The sequence below is a fragment of the Homo sapiens genome, chromosome 17 (genome assembly GCF_000001405.40).
Source record: "Homo sapiens chromosome 17, GRCh38.p14 Primary Assembly".
Lineage (NCBI taxonomy): Eukaryota > Metazoa > Chordata > Mammalia > Primates > Hominidae > Homo > Homo sapiens.
Window position 1 is genome coordinate 40,120,213 of NC_000017.11, and position 18,580 is coordinate 40,138,792.

The window sequence follows — 18,580 nt, forward strand, 5'->3', positions numbered from 1 at the left end:
AAAAAAATAAAAAGTTAGCCAGGTGTGGCAGCCCAAGCCTGTTGTCCCAGCTACTTAGGAGACTGAGGTGGGAGGATCACTTGAGCCCTGGAGGTTGAGGCTGCAGTGAACCATAATTGTGCCACTGTACTCTAGCCTTGGGGACACAGCAAGACCCCAGTGCCACAAACACACAAGCCTTGACATGGAAAGAGATCACCACATTCTATGTGCCCTCTCATCCCTGCTCACTCCATTACTTGGTGTCCCTAAGCTCAATACTTCCCTTGCTGATCTGAGGCCATACAGTCTGGTGAAAGAGGGCCGGACTCTTGGCTTCTTAACACATTCACATACGTTTGTTTAAAATTTCCAGTGTTTCATGCTTTCAGCCCACAAAGCACAGACACAGTTTTAATGAGAGGTTTTCACATCAGGCCAGAGAATGTCAGTCTTCTCCATCTCCATAGAGATTTTAAAAAGCACACCTCAGACAAAAAAGAAAAACAAGCAATTAAGACTATTTCAGGGCTGGGCACGGTGGCTCACACCTGTAATCCCACCACTTTGGGAGGCCGAGGCGGGCGGATCACCTGAAGTCGGGAGTTCCAGACCAGCCTGACCAAGGAGAAATCCTGTCTCTACTAAAAATACAAAATTAGCTGGGCGTGGTGGCGCGTGACTGTAATCCCAGCTACTCGGGAGGCTGAGGCAGGAGAATCGCTTGAACCCCGGAGGCGGAGGTTGCAGTGAGCTGAATTTCACCATTGCACTCCAGCCTGGGCGACAGAGTGAGAATCCGTCTCAAAAAAAAAAAACGTTTTTTTCACAAGGAATTCTGAGGACTTGTTGGCTCAATTGCTTGGACATAAAGACACACATACATGAAGCTGGAGAGATAGGAAGAAGCGCTCAACACAGAACACCCTAAGTATCCCTACTCCCTTTCAAGGACTAAATCCCTTCAGAGATTTCCTTTGCTTCAGTCCTTCAGGAGCCTCCCGAAGATGCTAGGAGTCGTTTAAGAAGGCTGGAAGATGGCCGTTGGGAAGGAACTGTTGGTAGCTGGCAATACTTCATCCCAAGGAGGCGGTGGCAATAGCTCCCTGGGCAGCAGACATCATGGATTTTCCTCCCTCTGGGAACCAGAGGTCCCTCCGTTTCTGGTTTGAATCCCTTAGAGACAAAGAACTTCATTCTCTCCCATACCCGCGTGGGACTGCTGGGGAGGAGAGGGGGTGGAGGGGTTAGACTTCTACCCCCATGAAACACCCGCGGGCTCAAAGAGGAGCCTGGATCCTGACTGGTCCAGGAGGCGTGCGGGGCCGCGGGGCCCCTCCGGCTTGGGCCAGGCGCGTTGCCAAGATGCCCGGGGAAGGGGCCGCCCGGCGCAGGCCGGGGACGTGGAGCGCTCGGGGCGCTCCCACGTAGGCCACACATTGGCCGCCTGTATCCTCCTTCTTTCCTCTCAACTCCATTCTCTCGCGCTTTTTTCCCGGGGAGCCTCCGCTTTCCCCTTCTTCCCGCGGCCGCCCTCGCCCTTCTTCCCCCTCCAGACCCTCCCCCGGCTCGCCCCTCCCTCGGCAGCCCACCTTCACCCCGCTCCTCCGCGCGCTCCTCGGTCCTCGCCCCTCAGCCCCGGCCTCCCCTCGCCGGCCCCCGGCCCCCGCGGTCCCCTCCCTGCCCCCCTCGAGGCGGCGGCGGCCCCTTTCACAATAGCGCGGCCCGCCTCCCTCCTCTCGGCTCCCGGTGCACTCCCGCCCGCTCCCCTCCCCGCGCATGCGTCCTCCGGTTGGCGGCGGCTGCGGCGGTGGCGGCTACGAGCGGCTCCGTTTTTTTAAAGGGAAACGCTGAGGCGCCGGGGGTGACTGTGGGGGAGGGGGACCCCGAGCCGCGGAGACCCCCGGGAGAGGCGACAGACCCCCTCTCCCGGAGTAGGAGGGCTTTGGGCGGACCCAGCCCTCCACCCCCTCCTGAGGAGGAGGGGGGGGAAATGGAGGCTCGGGGCGGTTGAGGCGAGCTCCGGGGCGGGGGGCCGGGGCGGGGAAGGGGGGGTGCGGGGTGGGGAGACGAGGCGGGCCCGGCCGGGCCAGGGGGGGCCGAAGCGAGCTCCGGGGATGAGCTCGGGGGCGGCTGGGTGCGAGCTCCTGCCTCTGAGGCGAAGGCGGCGGCGGCGGCAGCAGAGGCGGCGGCGAGGCCCCCATGGGCCGGCGGCGGGCCTCAGCCGCGGCCTCCACGTCTCCGCACGCCGGCGGGATGGCGCCCGGGCCCCGGAGGAGCCGCGCTAGCGGAGGCCTGCTGCCGCGCTGCTGAGGCGAGCCCGCCAAACTCCCCTCCCCCCCCTCAGTCCTCGACCCCCCGCACCTCGCCCCTTCCCCACCCCCTCCTCCGCCTCGGTGCCCGGCGCTGCTCCGGACCACTATGACCATGAGATCCGCGGTGTTCAAGGCGGCCGCGGCCCCTGCCGGCGGCAATCCTGAGCAGCGACTGGACTACGAGCGGGCTGCGGCGCTGGGCGGGCCCGAGGACGAGCCTGGGGCGGCCGAAGCCCACTTCCTCCCCCGGCACCGTAAGCTCAAGGAGCCGGGGCCCCCGCTGGCCTCCTCCCAGGGCGGGAGCCCCGCGCCTTCCCCGGCCGGCTGCGGCGGCAAGGGCCGGGGCTTGTTACTCCCGGCCGGGGCGGCCCCCGGGCAGCAGGAAGAGAGCTGGGGCGGTTCGGTGCCCTTGCCCTGTCCGCCCCCGGCCACCAAGCAAGCCGGCATTGGGGGGGAGCCTGCCGCAGCCGGAGCCGGCTGCAGCCCCCGGCCCAAGTATCAGGCGGTGCTGCCCATTCAGACGGGCTCTCTCGTGGCGGCGGCCAAAGAGCCTACGCCCTGGGCTGGGGACAAGGGTGGGGCGGCCTCCCCCGCTGCCACCGCCTCGGACCCGGCGGGACCCCCACCACTACCTCTGCCCGGGCCGCCACCCCTCGCGCCCACCGCCACCGCCGGGACCCTGGCGGCCAGCGAGGGCAGATGGAAGAGTATGAGGAAGAGCCCTCTCGGGGGTGGTGGCGGCTCGGGAGCCTCCAGTCAGGCCGCCTGCCTCAAACAGATCCTTCTGCTGCAATTGGACCTCATCGAACAGCAGCAGCAGCAGCTGCAGGCCAAGGAAAAGGAGATCGAGGAGCTGAAGTCAGAGAGAGACACGGTACGGGAGGGGTTAATCTGCATTCGGGCCGAGGAGCGAGTTGTGCGCATGCTCGGGGGAAGGGGGCTGTAGGAGGTTAAGGCACCCCCGGGTTAGGGGTAAAGGAGGTTGGCCACCGGCAAAGGAGTATCTTAGGCGCTGGGTCTCTGGGAGCCAGGCTCACAGACACGTTGGGTTGGAGGGAAGGGTTAAAGGGCAACCTCTCAGGGGGAGGGGGAGGGGTTTCAGGTGCCAAAGGGTTAATTTAAAATGACAGCCCCAGACGTGTGGGAAAGACGTTTAGTGGAAAAAGACGTGATCTGTGAGGGGTTAAAAATGAAAGGGTGGGGTGTAGGTGTTGTGTCCTTATGGAAGGGTTAAATTAAAGAGCTATTGCGTTAGAAATGCACGGTGGAGGAGAGGGCTGTAGCAAGCAGCTGTTGCTTTCACCACTGCTGCAGCATCTTTAGATAGGAGGGCAGTAGGCCTTTTAGTGGGCACAGGGGTAGAGGTGATTTACGTGGAATCCTATTTTAGTTTTCTTAAATGATATTAAGAGAATCACTGCCTTTGATTTCAGACAGCTTTTAATAGGAACCTGAGTTCTAATACATGACCCACTGACCAGGTCCCTTTTATAAGCATGGTGTTTGAAACTGGAAGATTTTAGGGCATCAGGGGAAAGTAAGCTTATTAAATGTATTAAATAGACCTCCCCATCCTTATTTTAGAATCTTAGGGAGTAGGAAAGTCGTTTATTATTTCTTTACTTCTGAGGAGCTTGGACGACACAGGCTTGTTTTTACTGCAGCAGTAGTTAAGGGCATCTCTGCGTTAAAACATATTCCTTCAGATATGAGGGAAGCTGGGGTGGGGGGTATTACTGTGCTAGCATACCTTACAGCTGCCTAAAAATAAACATGGTTTCTACAATTGTTGTGTTCAGGCTGCAGCAGTCTCTCTCTCCCTCTCTCCCTCCCTCTTCCTCCCTCCCTGTCTCTTTCCCTTTCTCTCTCTCTCTCTCTCCCTCCCTCCCCGCCGTCCTCATCTCTCCCTCTCTCCTCTTTCTCTCTGGCGTCGTGTGCGCTAAGAGCTGAGCAAGGGAGCAAGCGGCTATTCATTTTGTTTGCTTTCCAAATGAATCTCATCGGGTGGCTGTTTTATTGGAGAATGCATTCTGCAAGGTGGATTGGGAGCTGGGGCAGGTCTCATTAAAATATCTCATGGTGTTGATTTGTGGAAGTTACTCAACATGGAGGTGGCACTGCTCAGACTGTACTGCAGTCTAGGGGTGTGATGGTACCGTAATTACAACACATCATATCCTTGTATGGGGGGAGTGGGAAGAGAAGGACCAGTGAAGGAGAAAAAAATCAAGGAAATGTCACCCACAAATGGTGGTTAAGGGCTGTGAATCAAAACATATACAAGGAGATGAAATGAGAGTATGGCTGATAGGGGGGTTCTCTGCTGATTGTGGAGGTTTCTGCTCAGTTCCTGAGGTAATGGCCCCTTTGCAGGCTTTCCTAGTCAGGAAAAGTGGGGTGAGTTAAGGATAGAGTGTCAGTCTGAACTTGGTACTCACTGCTTCTGTTGTGTATTGCAATCTTAATATTGCTTAAGCTTGTTTCACTTATTCCAGTTGTTGTTTGGCCTTGTCTGAAATCTATGCAATGAATGTAATGAAGGCAGCGTTAAACATCACTGTCTAACCCAGATAAAATTCTTGTAATAGAGTATAAGTAGCACAACACCTTTTCTCAAAACTAAACTAACACAAAGTTTTCAATACTAATAGAGTTCCATTTTCTGTTTAGTTTTTTAGTCCTTCCTTTTAACTAAAACTAAAGGAACTTTGATTTTAATAAATATTTAGATGAATAGGTATAATTTTTTGTGTTACCTCAAATTCAAAGGAATGTGTTTATGTCATGATTGTTGGAATTATGGGTACTGATTTCTATTTTCCAAATGAAATGTTCATTGTTTTAAAAGTACCCCCTCCCACACATACCCCTTTCAAATAACACTGCCATTCCTGGTGGCACTGTATGAGCTCTTAATTCCTTCTCAATGTACTGTTTGCACTTTGCTGTTGTGTATAGAGCTTTGGAGTAGAAGTAGAGAGGATAGAATTTGGACAATCTCAGGGCCTCTTAAAAGATCATGTAGGCTGGGCGCGGTGGCTCACGCCTGTAATCCCAGCACTTTGGGAGGCCTACGCAGGTGGACCACGAGGTCAAGAGATAGAGACCATCCTGGCCAACATGGTGAAACCCTGTCTCTACTAAAAATACAAAAATTACCCGGTGTGGTGGCGGGCGCCTGAAATACCAGCTACTCGGGAGGCTGAGGCAGGGAGGCGGAGGTTGCAGTGAGCCATTGCAATCCAGCCTGGGCAACAAGAGCAAAACTCCGTCTCAAAACAAAAACAAAAACAAACAAACAAAACATGTATACAATTAATTCTGGAAACTCCCGAACCAACTTGGAGCCACACAGGTAGCAGTAGCAGAGACCATGCCATTAAAAGGCATGTTACGGCCCTTCCCAGTGGAGAGGATCTCCCTACAGAAGAATGAACTACAAATTACCCCATGCCTCTTCCCATCTAGGTTAGCCCTTAAAATTTAACAGTATACCTTCTCTTCTCTATTTTGTTTAAGGAAAACTGTTCAGATTAATGTCTGCCTATTTAAAAAGTTGAGTTGATGTGGTCCATAGAAAGAGGCAGAAGACTATACTGATTCCTAAATGGGGCTAAGTATCTGTGTGTTTAATTTTTTATGTGTTAAGTCTGCATTTTGCTACTCTCTCTTTTAGCTCCTTGCTCGGATTGAACGTATGGAAAGGCGGATGCAGCTGGTAAAGAAGGATAACGAGAAAGAAAGGCACAAGCTGTTTCAGGGCTATGAAACTGAAGAGAGAGAGGAAACAGAGCTATCTGAGAAAATTAAACTGGAGTGCCAGCCGGAGCTTTCCGAGACATCCCAGACTCTGCCTCCCAAGCCCTTCTCATGTGGGCGGAGTGGAAAGGGACATAAAAGGTGTGCTGATAACTTTGTTTGATGAGGACCCTTGTTACCAGTGATTGAGAGTAGGAGATTGGGATTTATGAATTGGTTTTATAGCAATCATAACTTGCTTTAGAAGTCTTCTATGCGGAGGGCCGGGTGTGGTGGCTCACACCTGTAATCCCAGCACTTTGGGAGGCCAAGGCGGGTGGATCATGAGGTCAAGAGATAGAGACCATCCTGGCCAACATTTTGAAACCCCGTCTCTACTAAAAATATAAAAAATTAGCCGGGCGTGATGGCGGGCGCCTGTAGTCCCAGCTACTCGGGAGGCTGAGGCAGGAGAATCACTTGAACCCGGGAGGCGGAGGTTGCAGTGAGCCGGGATTGCTCCACTGCACTCCAGCCTGGCAACAGAGCGAGACTCCGTCAAAAAAAAAAAAAAAAGAAGTCTTCTATGCTGAGAAACTATCTTGAAACATTCTTATGCAGACTGTAAAAGTCTGTTTAGGAGTATTTTGGTCACAGTAATAATTATTGAATGCAGCTTACATCATAAAGAGAATGGGCAATAAGTATGACAGCTGAGTTTCTTAAAACTATAGCAGTTCACTTCAAGTTAGGAAGTGTTAAATTCCTTCATTGTGTCGTGCATTGGTAGACATAGAAAAGTAAAATACAGGCCAGGCGTGGTGGCTCATGCCTGTAATCCCTTTGAGAGGGCAAGGTGGGGAAGGAGTATGGAACGTATGGAAAGTGGGGAAGGAGGGATCGCTTGCGCCCAGGAGTTTGAGACCAGCCTGGGCAACATAGTGAGACCTCATTTTTACAAAAAATCCAAAAATTAGCCGGGCCTGGAGGTATGCACCTGTAGTCCCAGCTACTCAGGAGGTTGAGGCTACAGTGAGCTGTTACTGCACCACTGCACTCCAGCCTGGGTGACGGAGTGATACCCTGTCTCAATTGAAAAAAAAAAAAAAAAAGGTAAAAATGGAACTGTCCTTGGACTCAAAGAAATTAGCCCAACTGTAAGGATAGGCATACATTTTGAAAACTCAGAATTCAAATGCAGTAAAATACGTAGATGTACAACACCTGATATAAACTAAGGCTTTTTGTTTGTTTGAGATAGGGTCTCTCTCTGTCACCCAGGCTGGGGTGCAAGTGTCGCCAACATGGCTCACTTCATCTTCCACCTCTTGGACTCAAGTGATCCTCCTACTTCAGCCTCCCATGTAGCTAGGACCATAGGCACTCACCATGCTTGGCTAACTTTTTTTAGTTTTTGTAGAGACAGGCTCTCACTTTGTTTCCCAGGCTGATCTCAAACTCCTGGGCTCAAGTGATCCTCCCGAAGTGCTGGGATTACAGACATTAAACTAAGTTTTGTAAGATTCAGGGATATTAAAAGTTATTCTGGGTTAGAATTGTGAAACTTTAAGTAGAAATCAGTCTTGAAAAAGAAGTATAGCCGGGTGCGGTGGCTCACGCCTGTAATCCCAGCACTTTGGGAGGCCGAGGCGGGTGGATCACGAGGTCAGGAGATCGAGACCATCCTGGCTAACACGGTGAAACCCTGTCTCTACTAAAAATAGAAAAATTAGCCGGGTGTGGTGCATACACCTGTAGTCCCAGCTACTTGGGAGGCTGAGGCAGGAGAATTGCTTGAACCCAGGAGGTGGAGGTTGCAGTAAGCAGAGATCGCACCACTGCACTCCACTCTGGGTGACAGAGTGAGACTCCAAAAAAGTATTAAAATTTAGGTTGGTAAAGAGGAAGGGAGATGACTTTCTTGGGATGTGGTGGGGGAAGAAGGGAAGAAGAAAGAGGCTAGAGAATGCCAGCAGACAGTAAGAAAAAGGAAATAAAGGTTACAATTAATGTGGTACAGGGTTGGGGGAAAAGGAAAGAGACTGATCTCTGGATTACAAGAAGTAGGTGCACCTAATGTGGGTTGTAGTGGTACATAATGTTGGCTAAAGGACCTTGAATATTCTTTTTTTTTTTTTTTTTTTTTCTGAGACAGAGTCTCACTCTGTCGCCCAGGCTGGAGTGCAGTGGCGTGATCTCAGCTCACTGCAACCTCTGCCTCCCAGGGTCAAGCGATTCTCCTGCCTCAGCCTCTCAAGTAGCTAGGATTACAGGCATGTGCCACCACGCCTGACTAATTTTTGTATTTTTTTTTTTTAGTAGAGACGGGGTTTCACCATATTGACCAGGCTGGTCTCGAACTCCTGACCTCAAGTGATCCGCCTGCATTGGCCTTCCAAAGTGCTGGGATTACAGGCGTGAGCCACTGCGCCTGGTGGACCTTGAATATTCTTAAGCATGGAAATTCCTTGTTCAACATTTACTGGCCAGGTGCAGTGGCTCATGCCGGTAATCCCAGCACTTTGGGAGGCCTAGGTGGGTGGATCACCTGAGGTCAGGTATTTGAGACCAGTCTGACCAATATGGTGAAACCCTGCCTTTATTAAAAATACAAAAAAAATTAACCAGGCATGGTGGTGTATGCCTGTAATCCCAGCTACTCAGGAGGCTGAGATAGGAGAATTGCTTGAACCCGGGAGGCAGAGATTGCAGTGAGCCGAGATCATGCCACTGCACTCCAGCTTGGGTGACAGAGCAAGACTCTGTCTCAAAAACAAAACAAAACAAAACAAAAAATTTACTATGGGCCTATTTTATATACTGCTAAGCCTGGGCTGTTCCTGCTCATGACTGCTAAATGAGCACCAGACATTTAGGTACCTGAATACTTGTCATTTTGGGGCAAAAGAACCAGCTTATTCTTTTGCTCCAGAATGTGTTCAAATTAGATTTTATTCAAGTGTCAATAAATTTTATAATGTTTTCTTCCCTATCTAATAGGAAATCCCCATTTGGAAGTACAGAAAGAAAGACTCCTGTTAAAAAGCTGGCTCCTGAATTTTCAAAAGTCAAAACAAAAACTCCTAAGCACTCTCCTATTAAAGAGGAACCCTGTGGTTCCTTATCTGAAACTGTTTGTAAACGTGAATTGAGGAGCCAAGAAACCCCAGAAAAGCCCCGGTCTTCAGTGGACACCCCACCAAGACTCTCCACTCCCCAAAAGGGACCCAGCACCCATCCCAAGGAGAAAGCCTTCTCAAGTGAGATAGAAGATTTGCCGTACCTTTCCACCACAGAAATGTATTTGTGTCGTTGGCACCAGCCTCCCCCATCACCGTTACCATTACGGGAATCCTCTCCAAAGAAGGAGGAGACTGTAGCAAGTAAGGCATAGAGAACACTTGCTCTTATACCCTAGTGGTGGCGGTCAAGCTAACAAGTGTGAAAATGCCTTTGGCATTTTTAAAAAAGTGCAATCAATAAAGCAGAGTTCTGTCAAGAATGAGTAAGTTAACAGCCAGAGACAGACACTGTGCAGGCATTGCAAATAGATGGAATTACAGCAAAATGTGCTCAATGTATTTGCCTGCTTACAACACTGGGAGATGTGTTTGCCAGTAAGTTGCTCATCACAAGAGCACCAGACTTGGGGGTGTAATCTCCGGCAACTTGCATGCCCTCTGAAAGAAGGGTTTTCTGTGCTGTGAAATGCATAGAACTATACTTTGCCATGCACGACTGTTCCTGCAATTGATATTGTGTGAAATCTGGGAGGGTGGTCTTTGGGTGTTCTCAGGGGCCAATGGTAATTTTTGGGTTGGGGAGCCAGCTTGGGGTGGGGAATTTTCACCTGGGCCTCCGCTCTTTAACTATATAAACATTTATCTGTATATCTATGTCCCTGTCTGGGGGGCAGGAGGAATCTGCCAAAGACCAACAGTCTTACTTTATCTTACTATACTTCACAAAGGTTCTAAAATGTGAAGAGTTTACTTGGATTGCAGTAGCCCATTGGTTGTTCATATATTTAAATAAAATGGTCTACAAACTATTTTTCAAACAATAAGGACTATCTTGGGATATCTGAGCTGCTTGGGGAGGGTGTGGGGTGTGGGACCTTGGTCTTCATTCCCTTTTTTTTTTCTTTATGGCTTCCACACAGAGATGCTCCCCTATCTTCTACATCAACCAGTAACTGGAATGTGCCTTCAATCATGTAATATTAGTCTATGTCAGTCACTGCGGTTACTCTGGGGTAATGGTTGGGGAGGCCTTCTAGGATAGAGCCGCAGTCCCAAGTTTCTACCACTGTGTCTTGCCTAGCAGGATGGGGATAGAAATCCATTCCAGTGAGACAAGAGCGTTCTCCAGGCTTTGTTTGGCTGTTCTGGTGACAAAATTAAGTGGGAAAGCTAGATTAGTCGTCTTAATGATCTAACCTCTATTAGGCCTCACACTTGAGTACATGAGATAGATCAGGATCCTGATCTAGGTTCAGATTTTTGTTGGTTCAGTCAGTTGAACAGGTTCTTCCTTAATGGTTAACCTCTTTTGCTGCCATGGCAATGCTGCGTAACAACTTAAGAGAAACGTGAAGCAACTTCCCATCCGGGATTGGGTAATGGCTTGGTCCAGAGCTGTTCTGTGTGACTGGCTATTTTTGAAAATCCTTTCTTCCCTAGTACAGACAATTTCAAACACCTCTGAGATTGTGGGCATAGTGAAACAAAGGAGTCTAATTGGGGAGATCCCAGCCCCTTGAGGAGCCTGAGTTGTGAATAAACATGTGAATCCTTATTCTTGATGCCCCTATCTCAAGAGGAAGGCTCAATGGCTTGTTCTAGGGGAGCCAAAGTCTTTGTGCATGTTGTTCAGGCTGGACCAGCAAGGTAGTTTGTTTGGAGGGAGGAGGGAGCTGTTTAAGAAGACTACATATGTAAGTTTTGAGAACACTGATCTTTTATTTGAAAAATAGGGTCAACTTTTACTCACCTGCCATGTTCTGAGTTTAAGGTTTGATATCCTTGGCCATCAACTGTTGCAGGGAAACCACCCTAAATAATGAAGAAAAGAAGTCGTCTCAGTGTAAAAAAAAAAAGTGGTGGGCTTATTTTCTTTTCTTTTGTCTGTTGTTCCCTCTTCCCCTCCCCCAGAGAGAAATTCTCAAAAGAACAACTCAAAAAACAAAATGGCTTCCTAGTGAGAACTTCAGTGATGATCCTTTCCTCCATTTGGGGTATGGGCTTTTTTTCTTTTTACACTGAGATTATTCTTCTTTCCTGCATTATTTAGGGTGTCTGATGCCATCAAGTGTTGCAGGAGAAACTTCAGTCTTGGCTGGTGAGTAGAATAGGAATTGTGCTGGCTGGGCCTGGGGTGGGGGTTGGTGGGATGGTGGATGGTTGGGAGCTGCATTCCCCATCCACTGGATGTGGGAGACTGAGATTTCTTGGTGTATGATTGATTACACTACTATAGACTTCAAAATGACAACAAATTTCAGTTGTTTTTCAGGAACTGCTATAGCATCATTATATGAATTGTCAGGTATTGGTTTAGGGTTTTTGTGATCCTGAGTTTGGCAGACTGCAATGGCATTTTAGGTTCTTTTATACCATAGCAAGGACACTGAATATGGCTTCAGGGAGGCCATAGAATGGATTCCTATCACTTGGTAACTTTGTCTCTTCTGGGGAGAGACCTCTTATCCTAGTGAATAGTTGTGCAACTTTGGATTTAAGGGTGGTTCCACCCCTCCTCCCTTTCTTTTTCTCTCTCTTTTTTTTCAGTTCCTTCTTGGAGGGACCACTCAGTAGAGCCTCTAAGGGACCCAAATCCTTCAGACCTTTTGGAGGTAGGTAACCAAGAGCACTCAATTGAAGAGAGTAAGAGATTAAATAGAATGTGAGGGTATAACTGGAAAATGTCATAGTACTATGGATGAATTAAATAATTTTAAGGCCAGACAGAAACTTGAGAAATTATCTAGTCCAGCTCCTTCATTTTATAGATTAAAAAACAGGTCTAGAGTAGTTAAGTGATTTATTAAAAAATAAATAGCTAGGTAATGTTCAAAACAAAGGTAGATTTTATGCTAAGTAGAAAAGTTAGGGCTGGGTGTGGTGGCTTACGCCTATAATCCCAGCACTTTGGGAGGCTGAGACAGGTGGATCACCTGAGGTCAGGAGTCAGAGATCAGCCTGGCCAATGTGGTGAAACCCCATCTCCACTAAAAATACAAAAATTAGCCGGGCGTGGTGGCGCACACCTGTAATCCCAGCTACTCGGGAGGCTGAGACAGGGAGAATTGCTTGAACCCAGGAGGCAGAGGTTGCAGTGAGCCAAGATCGCACCACTGCACTCCAGCCTGGGTGACGGAGTGACTCCATCACACACACACAAAAAAAAGCATGTACCCCTCAACCATAAAATTACATATTCCAAGCTCATTTGACTCTTAAAGTTTTGATTATTTTAAAGTCAGACTCTTACAAAGTATGGAGGCAGGGAGGGTTTATGACAGTCTGGGGGTTTTAGTTTGATGTGATGTTTACCTTGGAAAGATATGGAAATGATTTTGAAATTTGGAGATTCTAAAAGGATGTGGATGGGGAAAGGAGTATGTGTTTTGTTGATTCTGTTACCAGGAGGTTCCCATACTGTCCATGGAACCCACAGACTCAGGTAGAACCGGAAGGTGAAAGATTTTACGTTCCTGGAAGCTGGAAATTAGTTAGTATATGTGTGTAACTAATATATGGTGATAAATAGCTTATCAGCTGCTTTTCTTTACACAGAACCTGGATGACAGTGTGTTTTCGAAGCGGCATGCAAAACTGGAGCTGGATGAGAAGAGAAGGAAAAGGTGAGGCCAGAGATGTCCATCCTGGAAACAACTGAGCCCTAGGACCTAGGACAGAGTATCAGGGAACCTGACCTCCCTTTTTCATGCTGTGGAGAATCTTGGAGTGCTTAACACTCTTACATTACTGGCTTCCCAGTTGGTTGAATATCTTAGTTGGAAATGGTAGTTGTTGCGGTAAACATGTTTGGCCTCTTTTTGTGTATGACCTTCCTCAATTCTACTTTCTGTGGAACACCAACACATGATCTAAACGGTAGACCTAAACAGCTCTCCCTTAACAAGGCAGTCATTTCTCTTTACCCTGTCTAGAGGAGTCAGCAAGGGTCTTCCTAGCATCTGGATTGTGTGAGTTGCTTTTATAGAGCAGGTTTTGGGTAAACAGTAATGTTGGGTTTCTTTGTTTTGTTTGGTTTGTTTTTCCCAGATGGGATATTCAGAGGATCAGGGAACAAAGAATTTTACAGCGACTGCAGCTCAGAATGTATAAAAAGAAAGGAATTCAGGAATCTGAGCCTGAGGTTACCTCATTTTTCCCTGAGCCAGATGATGGTAAGTTGTGTCCATCTAAAAGAGTAGGTTTTTGAAAGAAGGAGGAGGGTGCAAGGCTCCAGGGTACAACTTGCTCTGAATGAATGAAGTGTATTTTGGAGCAGATATAGCTTCTAGACATTTCCCATCTGTATTACTAATACGCTCCCGTTTGACTTTCTCCCATAGTTGAAAGTTTGATGATTACCCCCTTCTTGCCTGTTGTAGCATTTGGACGACCATTACCAAAATTAACTCCACAGTAAGTATACATTTTTTTTCTCCCCTTCCAGGTAACCTGCACATCCTTTTCAGACTTCATGGAAGCCTAGATATGAGGTGGAACCAGGTGGCTTAGGGATAGCCATGGGTCTTTGACAGAAATGAGGCTACCTGGGCAACTAGCTTTTGTAATAAGATTCCCAAGCCAATAATTAGGAGTATTGCTTTTTGAGTTAGAAATAGATGATTCCATCACTTTAATGGTACACAGTTGCTCTGGCTTTGAGGCAGGAAAGACACTCCAAACTAGTCAGGGATAGGAGTGGTAAGGGACATAGTGACTTTTTTGTAGTTGCTATCATGTCCACACTGAATCCCTTCTAGTCTTGCAAGTTGATTTCCTCATCCTTTTTTGCCAGGAATTTTGAGCTACCCTGGTTGGATGAGCGTAGCCGATGCAGATTGGAGATCCAGAAGAAGCAAACACCTCACCGGACGTGTAGGAAATAGCTGTGCTGGCAAGAACCCTGTCTTCAGATAGTTGTAGCATGCCATTCCCGAGAGTGGCAGAGACCTGTATATGTGACCTTTGTCCTCACATATGTTATCACTCGCTGATAATACCCTTTCATACTTCCTTGACTTTGTTTTCATTACTCTGATTTCACAAAAACTCTTTCATTCGGCTAATTGTGAGTTATGGAGGGTGATTGGGATTTCTTTTCCCTTTTTTGGGAAATGGGCTCTCAAGCTAAAGCTATAGGATGGCAGATTCAGAAGTTTCAGGGGTCTGTTTCTATACATTTGCCTATGTTAAAGGGGTAAAAGGGCTCTCTTCATTAGACATGTGGAAGATGAAGCAGCCCCTTCCTTTAGAGCTGTGCCTGCATGGCACTCTTCTCACCCTGGTACACCCTCCTTATAGTGGGTATAGTGATTTTTAACCCTAAAATAAAACAAACAACCTCACCATGAGCTTTAGGACCAGAAGAGGAATGACAAGTGAAGCGATGAAGCAAGCCATCTTCACAGAGTAGAAAAGACATCGGAGAGTTGGTAGATAACTGTCTGAAAAGATAGTTGTTCATTTGAAACTATTCTGTGATACAGTCATGTGGGAAGGGATGTTTGGCTGTGATTATTTTTTCAGTTAATGGATAACAATTTCTTTACTGCTCAAAAACCAAAATCTTTGGAAAAGAAAGTGGGGATGGTTAGTTTCAGAACAAGTTACAGCTGTAAACAAAAGCACTTAGTATTTGGGATGGCATGCCAAAACCTGTATAAATGTCCTTGTATCACATCACTTCTCAAGTATTCCTTCATTGGGCTTCATCCTTTTAGCAGAACTCTTGGTGGTGGGATAGAGACTTAGGGAGGGTAGGGGGAGAGTGTGGAAATAGGTGCTTCCTTTGGCTGGCAAATGTCTACATCTTGAAACAAACAGATGTACCTAATGAGCTTCTCCATTCACTTTGTAAAAATAATTTGTATGTGTACCATCTTGGTCCTCTCCCCTCCCGTTTTGTTAAAATATCAGGATAGCACTCCCAGGCCACTTTGGTCTCAGTGTAAGATCCCTATTAACTATCTGAAAGGAAAATAGAGCCAAGACCTCTGGTCTCAAATATATAGGAATTGCCTTTCTTTAGTCTTCAGGACTATTGTGTGAAAACAAGTAGGGGTCTAATCTCCTAGAAGGTAGGGGCTTTTATCCTTAAAGAGAATATGTCCCCAGATTATTAGCACTTTTAGAGGAGAAGCCAAGGTATGTAGGGTGTGTGGCTGGCCCATCAGTGGAGCACGAAGAGAGAATGGGATACCATTGTGGGAAGAGAAGAAAAGTTCCTCAGGGGCCTCCCACTGCTAAAGTTTTTTGTGAGATGTTGATCTGTGCTTCCTGGATTTGACTTTTAAAGGAATTATTCTGGCAGCACATGTAGTATTCTTGGATGATCTTGCTGCTCTTATTTCTCCTTTTGTGTGTGTGTGTGTGTGTGTGTGGCTATGGGTTTTCATTTGTAACTCCATCTGCTTAGGAGAGTGGGCTCTCTATAAGGGAACCTGCTGTAAACTTCATTGCAGCAAGGATGTAGAGAGAAATAGGACTTAATTCCACTAGGGGCTCTCATCTCACACCTTAAGGAGGAGATTTCTAGAAAAACTGGGCCAGATTTTCTTTGTTCTCCATCATTTTAATGTGGCAGGCTGTTCAGTTTTCTTACTCTTACCTATGTGATATTTCTTCGTAACGTGTCCAAAAAGAAAAAAGACCCAATCAGTGTCTCTTGACTTTGTTCTTTGATCCCTCAGTTTCTTCTTGATTTCAGCATGTGTCGGGTTCCTAATTTTGGGTATGAGTTAGCAAATTTAACCATTGTGTTTGTGCCCTACCCAGGGGACTCCCCAGTTTCTGACTTGAAGTAGACTGAGAAGAATCCACGAGGTGCTATCTGGCCAGATTTAAGTAGATTCTATTTCCTTGGTTCTCCCTCTCCCTGAGGACCTCTTATTTTATTGTCCCCTCTTCTAGGTTAATTCTCCTTTGATTTGACTTTGTTGAGAAGGAGGTTGGACAGTAGATTAGCAAAGTTCCAAGTGCAAAATTACAGTGTGTTAGAGTGTGGGGGGAAAATTAGTCTTATTTTTCCCTACATGGGATACAACACTGTGAATTCAATCTTCAACTGAAGGCCCTGCAGTTCTCCTAAAACATAGTTGTTTGTTTTTCTTTAACAAAGTTTAAGCTAGTGTTAATAAATTAAAAAAAATTGCTTGTCTGTCTACTTCAGCTTTGTTTTATGCCCATTTCATATTGTTGTCTGTGTTGTAATTCATAACTTTTGATACCATTTCTGATGTGTAAAATTGGTTGTCTTGTAAATATCTTATAAAGAGTTCAATTGTAAATAAACTATTGTGGCTGTTAATTTTTGAACTTCTGCTTCAATTTATTATATTTATTGGCAAACAAACAATTCTGCTTGTATATTTGAAACATTGGAAAAAGAAATCCATTTTCTCAATAAAAAAGAATAACACATTATTTTCCCCTTTATAATAAGGTACTCACTTCCATTTGTGTATAAGTATAATGTATGTTTCATCCCTCTTTGTCCAGTGTACTTCCTTAAGTATAATCAGCAACTTGGCTGGGCGCAGTGGCTCACACCTGTGATCCCAGCACTTTGGTGGCTGAGGTGGGCAGATCACTTGTGGTCAGAGGTTCAAGACCAGCCTGGCCAACACAGTAAAACATGGTAAAACCCCATCTACTAAAAATACAAAAATTATCCAGATGTGGTGGCATGCACCTGTTATCCCAGTTACTTGGGAGGCTGAGGCAGGAAAATCTCTTGAACCTGGGAAGTGGAAGTTGTGGTAAGCCAAGATCAAGCTGCTGCACTTCAGCCTGGGTGACAGCGAGACTCCATCCCACCCACCCCCAACAAAAAAAAAGGGTCGGGCGTGTTGGCTCACATTTGTAATCCCAGCCACTTTGGGAGACTGAGGTGGGTAGATCACCTGAGGTCAGAAGTTCGAAACCAGCTTGGCCAACACGGTGAAACCCTGTCTCTACTAAAAATAAAATAAATTAGCCAGGCTTGGTGACAGGCACCTGTAATCCCAGCTACTCGGGAGGCTGAGGCAGGAGAATTGCTTGAACCCAGGAGGCAGAGGTTGCAGTGAGCCGAGATCATGCCATTGCACTCCAGCCTGGGTGATAGAGGGAGACTCCAACTCCAAAAAAAAAAAAGTATAATTAGCAATTTTAGAAACGAGATTATAGGATACTTCGTAAGTTAACAAAATCTTATAGCTGGAAAGACATTAGAGGTCATCTAGTGTGACCCCGATATGTGATTTACCCTTGATAACACTCCAGACAAGCAAATTCCAGGCTGTGCTTCAACACTTTTTCTACATACATTTTTCCCCCTAAGTGTTTGAAAATTCTTGCTTGTTGACAAAAAATCTAACTTCTTGTAACTTAAACTCACTGGTTTTTGCTTTGCCTTCTAGGATGATGAAAAAAAGACCAATCCCTCCTTTCTTCATAGTCCCTAGTTAAAGATTGCTGTGGGCTCCAGGCCCGGCGCGGTGGCTCAGGCCTGTAATCCCAGCACTTTGGGAGGCCAAGGCGGGTGGATCACGAGGTCAGGAGTTCAAGAGCAGCCTGACCAACATGGTGAAACCCCGTCTCTACTAAAAATACAAAAATTAGCTGGGCGTGGTGGTGCGCGCCTGTAATCCCAGCTACACAGGAGGCTGAGGCAGGAGAATCGCTTGAACCTGAAAGGCGGAGGTTGCAGTGAGCCCAGATCGCACCACTCCACTCCAGCCTGGGCGACAGAGCGAGACTCCGTCCCCCTCAAAAAAAAAAAAAAAAACTGGACCCAGACTAAACAACTGAAGGACAAAGTGGCAGACTATCACTTTCCTTATTTAGACACTAAACTTGGCAGCCTTATTTGCACCAATTTAGTCTGTGATCGATAAGATCCTCCAGGTTCTTTTTCTTTAACACTTATTAAATCATATTATCCTCCATTTTGAACTCAGGCAGTTGGCTTTTGGAGCTGGACTTATAAGTTGTCACGTTTGGCCACTTGTCTAATTAGCTGAGATTGTTTGAATTTTCTTTTTTTCTTTTTTTTGAAACAGAATCTCTTTGTCTCCCAGGCTGGAGTGCAGTGGCGCGATCTCGGCTCACTGCAAGCTCCGCCTACCGGGTTCACGCCATTCTGCCTCAGCCTCCCGAATAGCTGGGACTACAGGCGCCTGCCACCACGCCCGTCTATTTTTTTTTATTTTTAGTAGAGACGGGGTTTCACCGTGTTAGCCAGGATGGTCTTGATCTCCTGACCTCGTGATCTGCCCGCCTCGGCCTCCCAAAGTGCTAGGATTACAGGCGTGAGCCACCGCGCCCGGC

The 18,580-nt window shown here is 47.2% G+C and overlaps 1 protein-coding gene and 1 long non-coding RNA gene across 5 annotated transcripts, besides 8 other annotated features; one reads left to right on the forward strand and one right to left on the reverse strand.

The window, feature by feature from the left end:
• Positions 1–316: 316 nt before the first annotated feature.
• On the reverse strand, positions 317–1,628 carry LOC124904001 (uncharacterized). The gene is made up of 2 exons (XR_007065752.1): positions 1,572–1,628; positions 317–1,201 (listed from the first exon to the last, which is right to left on the reverse strand). It is a non-coding gene; the product is annotated as an uncharacterized LOC124904001 (long non-coding RNA).
• Positions 1,210–1,369: a silencer, noted in NCBI's record as "silent region_8476". NCBI's record gives its function as "represses an Ori minimal core promoter by ATAC-STARR-seq in GM12878 lymphoblastoid cells {active_cell/tissue: GM12878}" and the evidence as "EXISTENCE:reporter gene assay evidence [ECO:0000049][PMID:35858748]".
• Positions 1,600–1,799: a silencer, noted in NCBI's record as "silent region_8477". NCBI's record gives its function as "represses an Ori minimal core promoter by ATAC-STARR-seq in GM12878 lymphoblastoid cells {active_cell/tissue: GM12878}" and the evidence as "EXISTENCE:reporter gene assay evidence [ECO:0000049][PMID:35858748]".
• MSL1 (MSL complex subunit 1) lies at positions 1,759–16,705 on the forward strand. 4 transcript variants are annotated; one of them, NM_001012241.2, is made up of 10 exons: positions 1,759–2,548; positions 3,073–3,168; positions 5,971–6,194; positions 9,033–9,415; positions 11,325–11,372; positions 11,822–11,886; positions 12,830–12,897; positions 13,322–13,446; positions 13,615–13,687; positions 14,067–16,705. In NM_001012241.2, exons 3-10 carry the CDS (start codon positions 5,992–5,994, stop codon positions 14,155–14,157), a joined length of 1,056 nt encoding a protein of 351 aa, NP_001012241.1. In that variant the 5' UTR covers positions 1,759–2,548; positions 3,073–3,168; positions 5,971–5,991; the 3' UTR covers positions 14,158–16,705. The 4 variants fall into 4 exon arrangements, with proteins under 4 accessions (NP_001012241.1, NP_001352848.1, NP_001352849.1 ...); NM_001365919.1 differs by having other exon boundaries at positions 1,759–3,168; NM_001365920.1 differs by lacking the exon at positions 11,325–11,372 and having other exon boundaries at positions 1,759–3,168.
• Positions 1,840–2,049: a silencer, noted in NCBI's record as "silent region_8478". NCBI's record gives its function as "represses an Ori minimal core promoter by ATAC-STARR-seq in GM12878 lymphoblastoid cells {active_cell/tissue: GM12878}" and the evidence as "EXISTENCE:reporter gene assay evidence [ECO:0000049][PMID:35858748]".
• Positions 2,110–2,249: a silencer, noted in NCBI's record as "silent region_8479". NCBI's record gives its function as "represses an Ori minimal core promoter by ATAC-STARR-seq in GM12878 lymphoblastoid cells {active_cell/tissue: GM12878}" and the evidence as "EXISTENCE:reporter gene assay evidence [ECO:0000049][PMID:35858748]".
• Positions 2,350–2,399: a silencer, noted in NCBI's record as "silent region_8480". NCBI's record gives its function as "represses an Ori minimal core promoter by ATAC-STARR-seq in GM12878 lymphoblastoid cells {active_cell/tissue: GM12878}" and the evidence as "EXISTENCE:reporter gene assay evidence [ECO:0000049][PMID:35858748]".
• Positions 2,450–2,899: a silencer, noted in NCBI's record as "silent region_8481". NCBI's record gives its function as "represses an Ori minimal core promoter by ATAC-STARR-seq in GM12878 lymphoblastoid cells {active_cell/tissue: GM12878}" and the evidence as "EXISTENCE:reporter gene assay evidence [ECO:0000049][PMID:35858748]".
• Positions 2,450–3,238: a biological region, named in NCBI's record as "H3K27ac hESC enhancer GRCh37_chr17:38279065-38279703".
• Positions 2,600–3,238: an enhancer, noted in NCBI's record as "H3K27ac hESC enhancer chr17:38279065-38279703 (GRCh37/hg19 assembly coordinates)". NCBI's record gives its function as "activates a minimal SCP1, AML or CMV promoter by ChIP-STARR-seq in primed H9 embryonic stem cells {active_cell/tissue: H9 hESC(primed)}" and the evidence as "EXISTENCE:reporter gene assay evidence [ECO:0000049][PMID:30033119]".
• Positions 16,706–18,580: the final 1,875 nt, after the last annotated feature.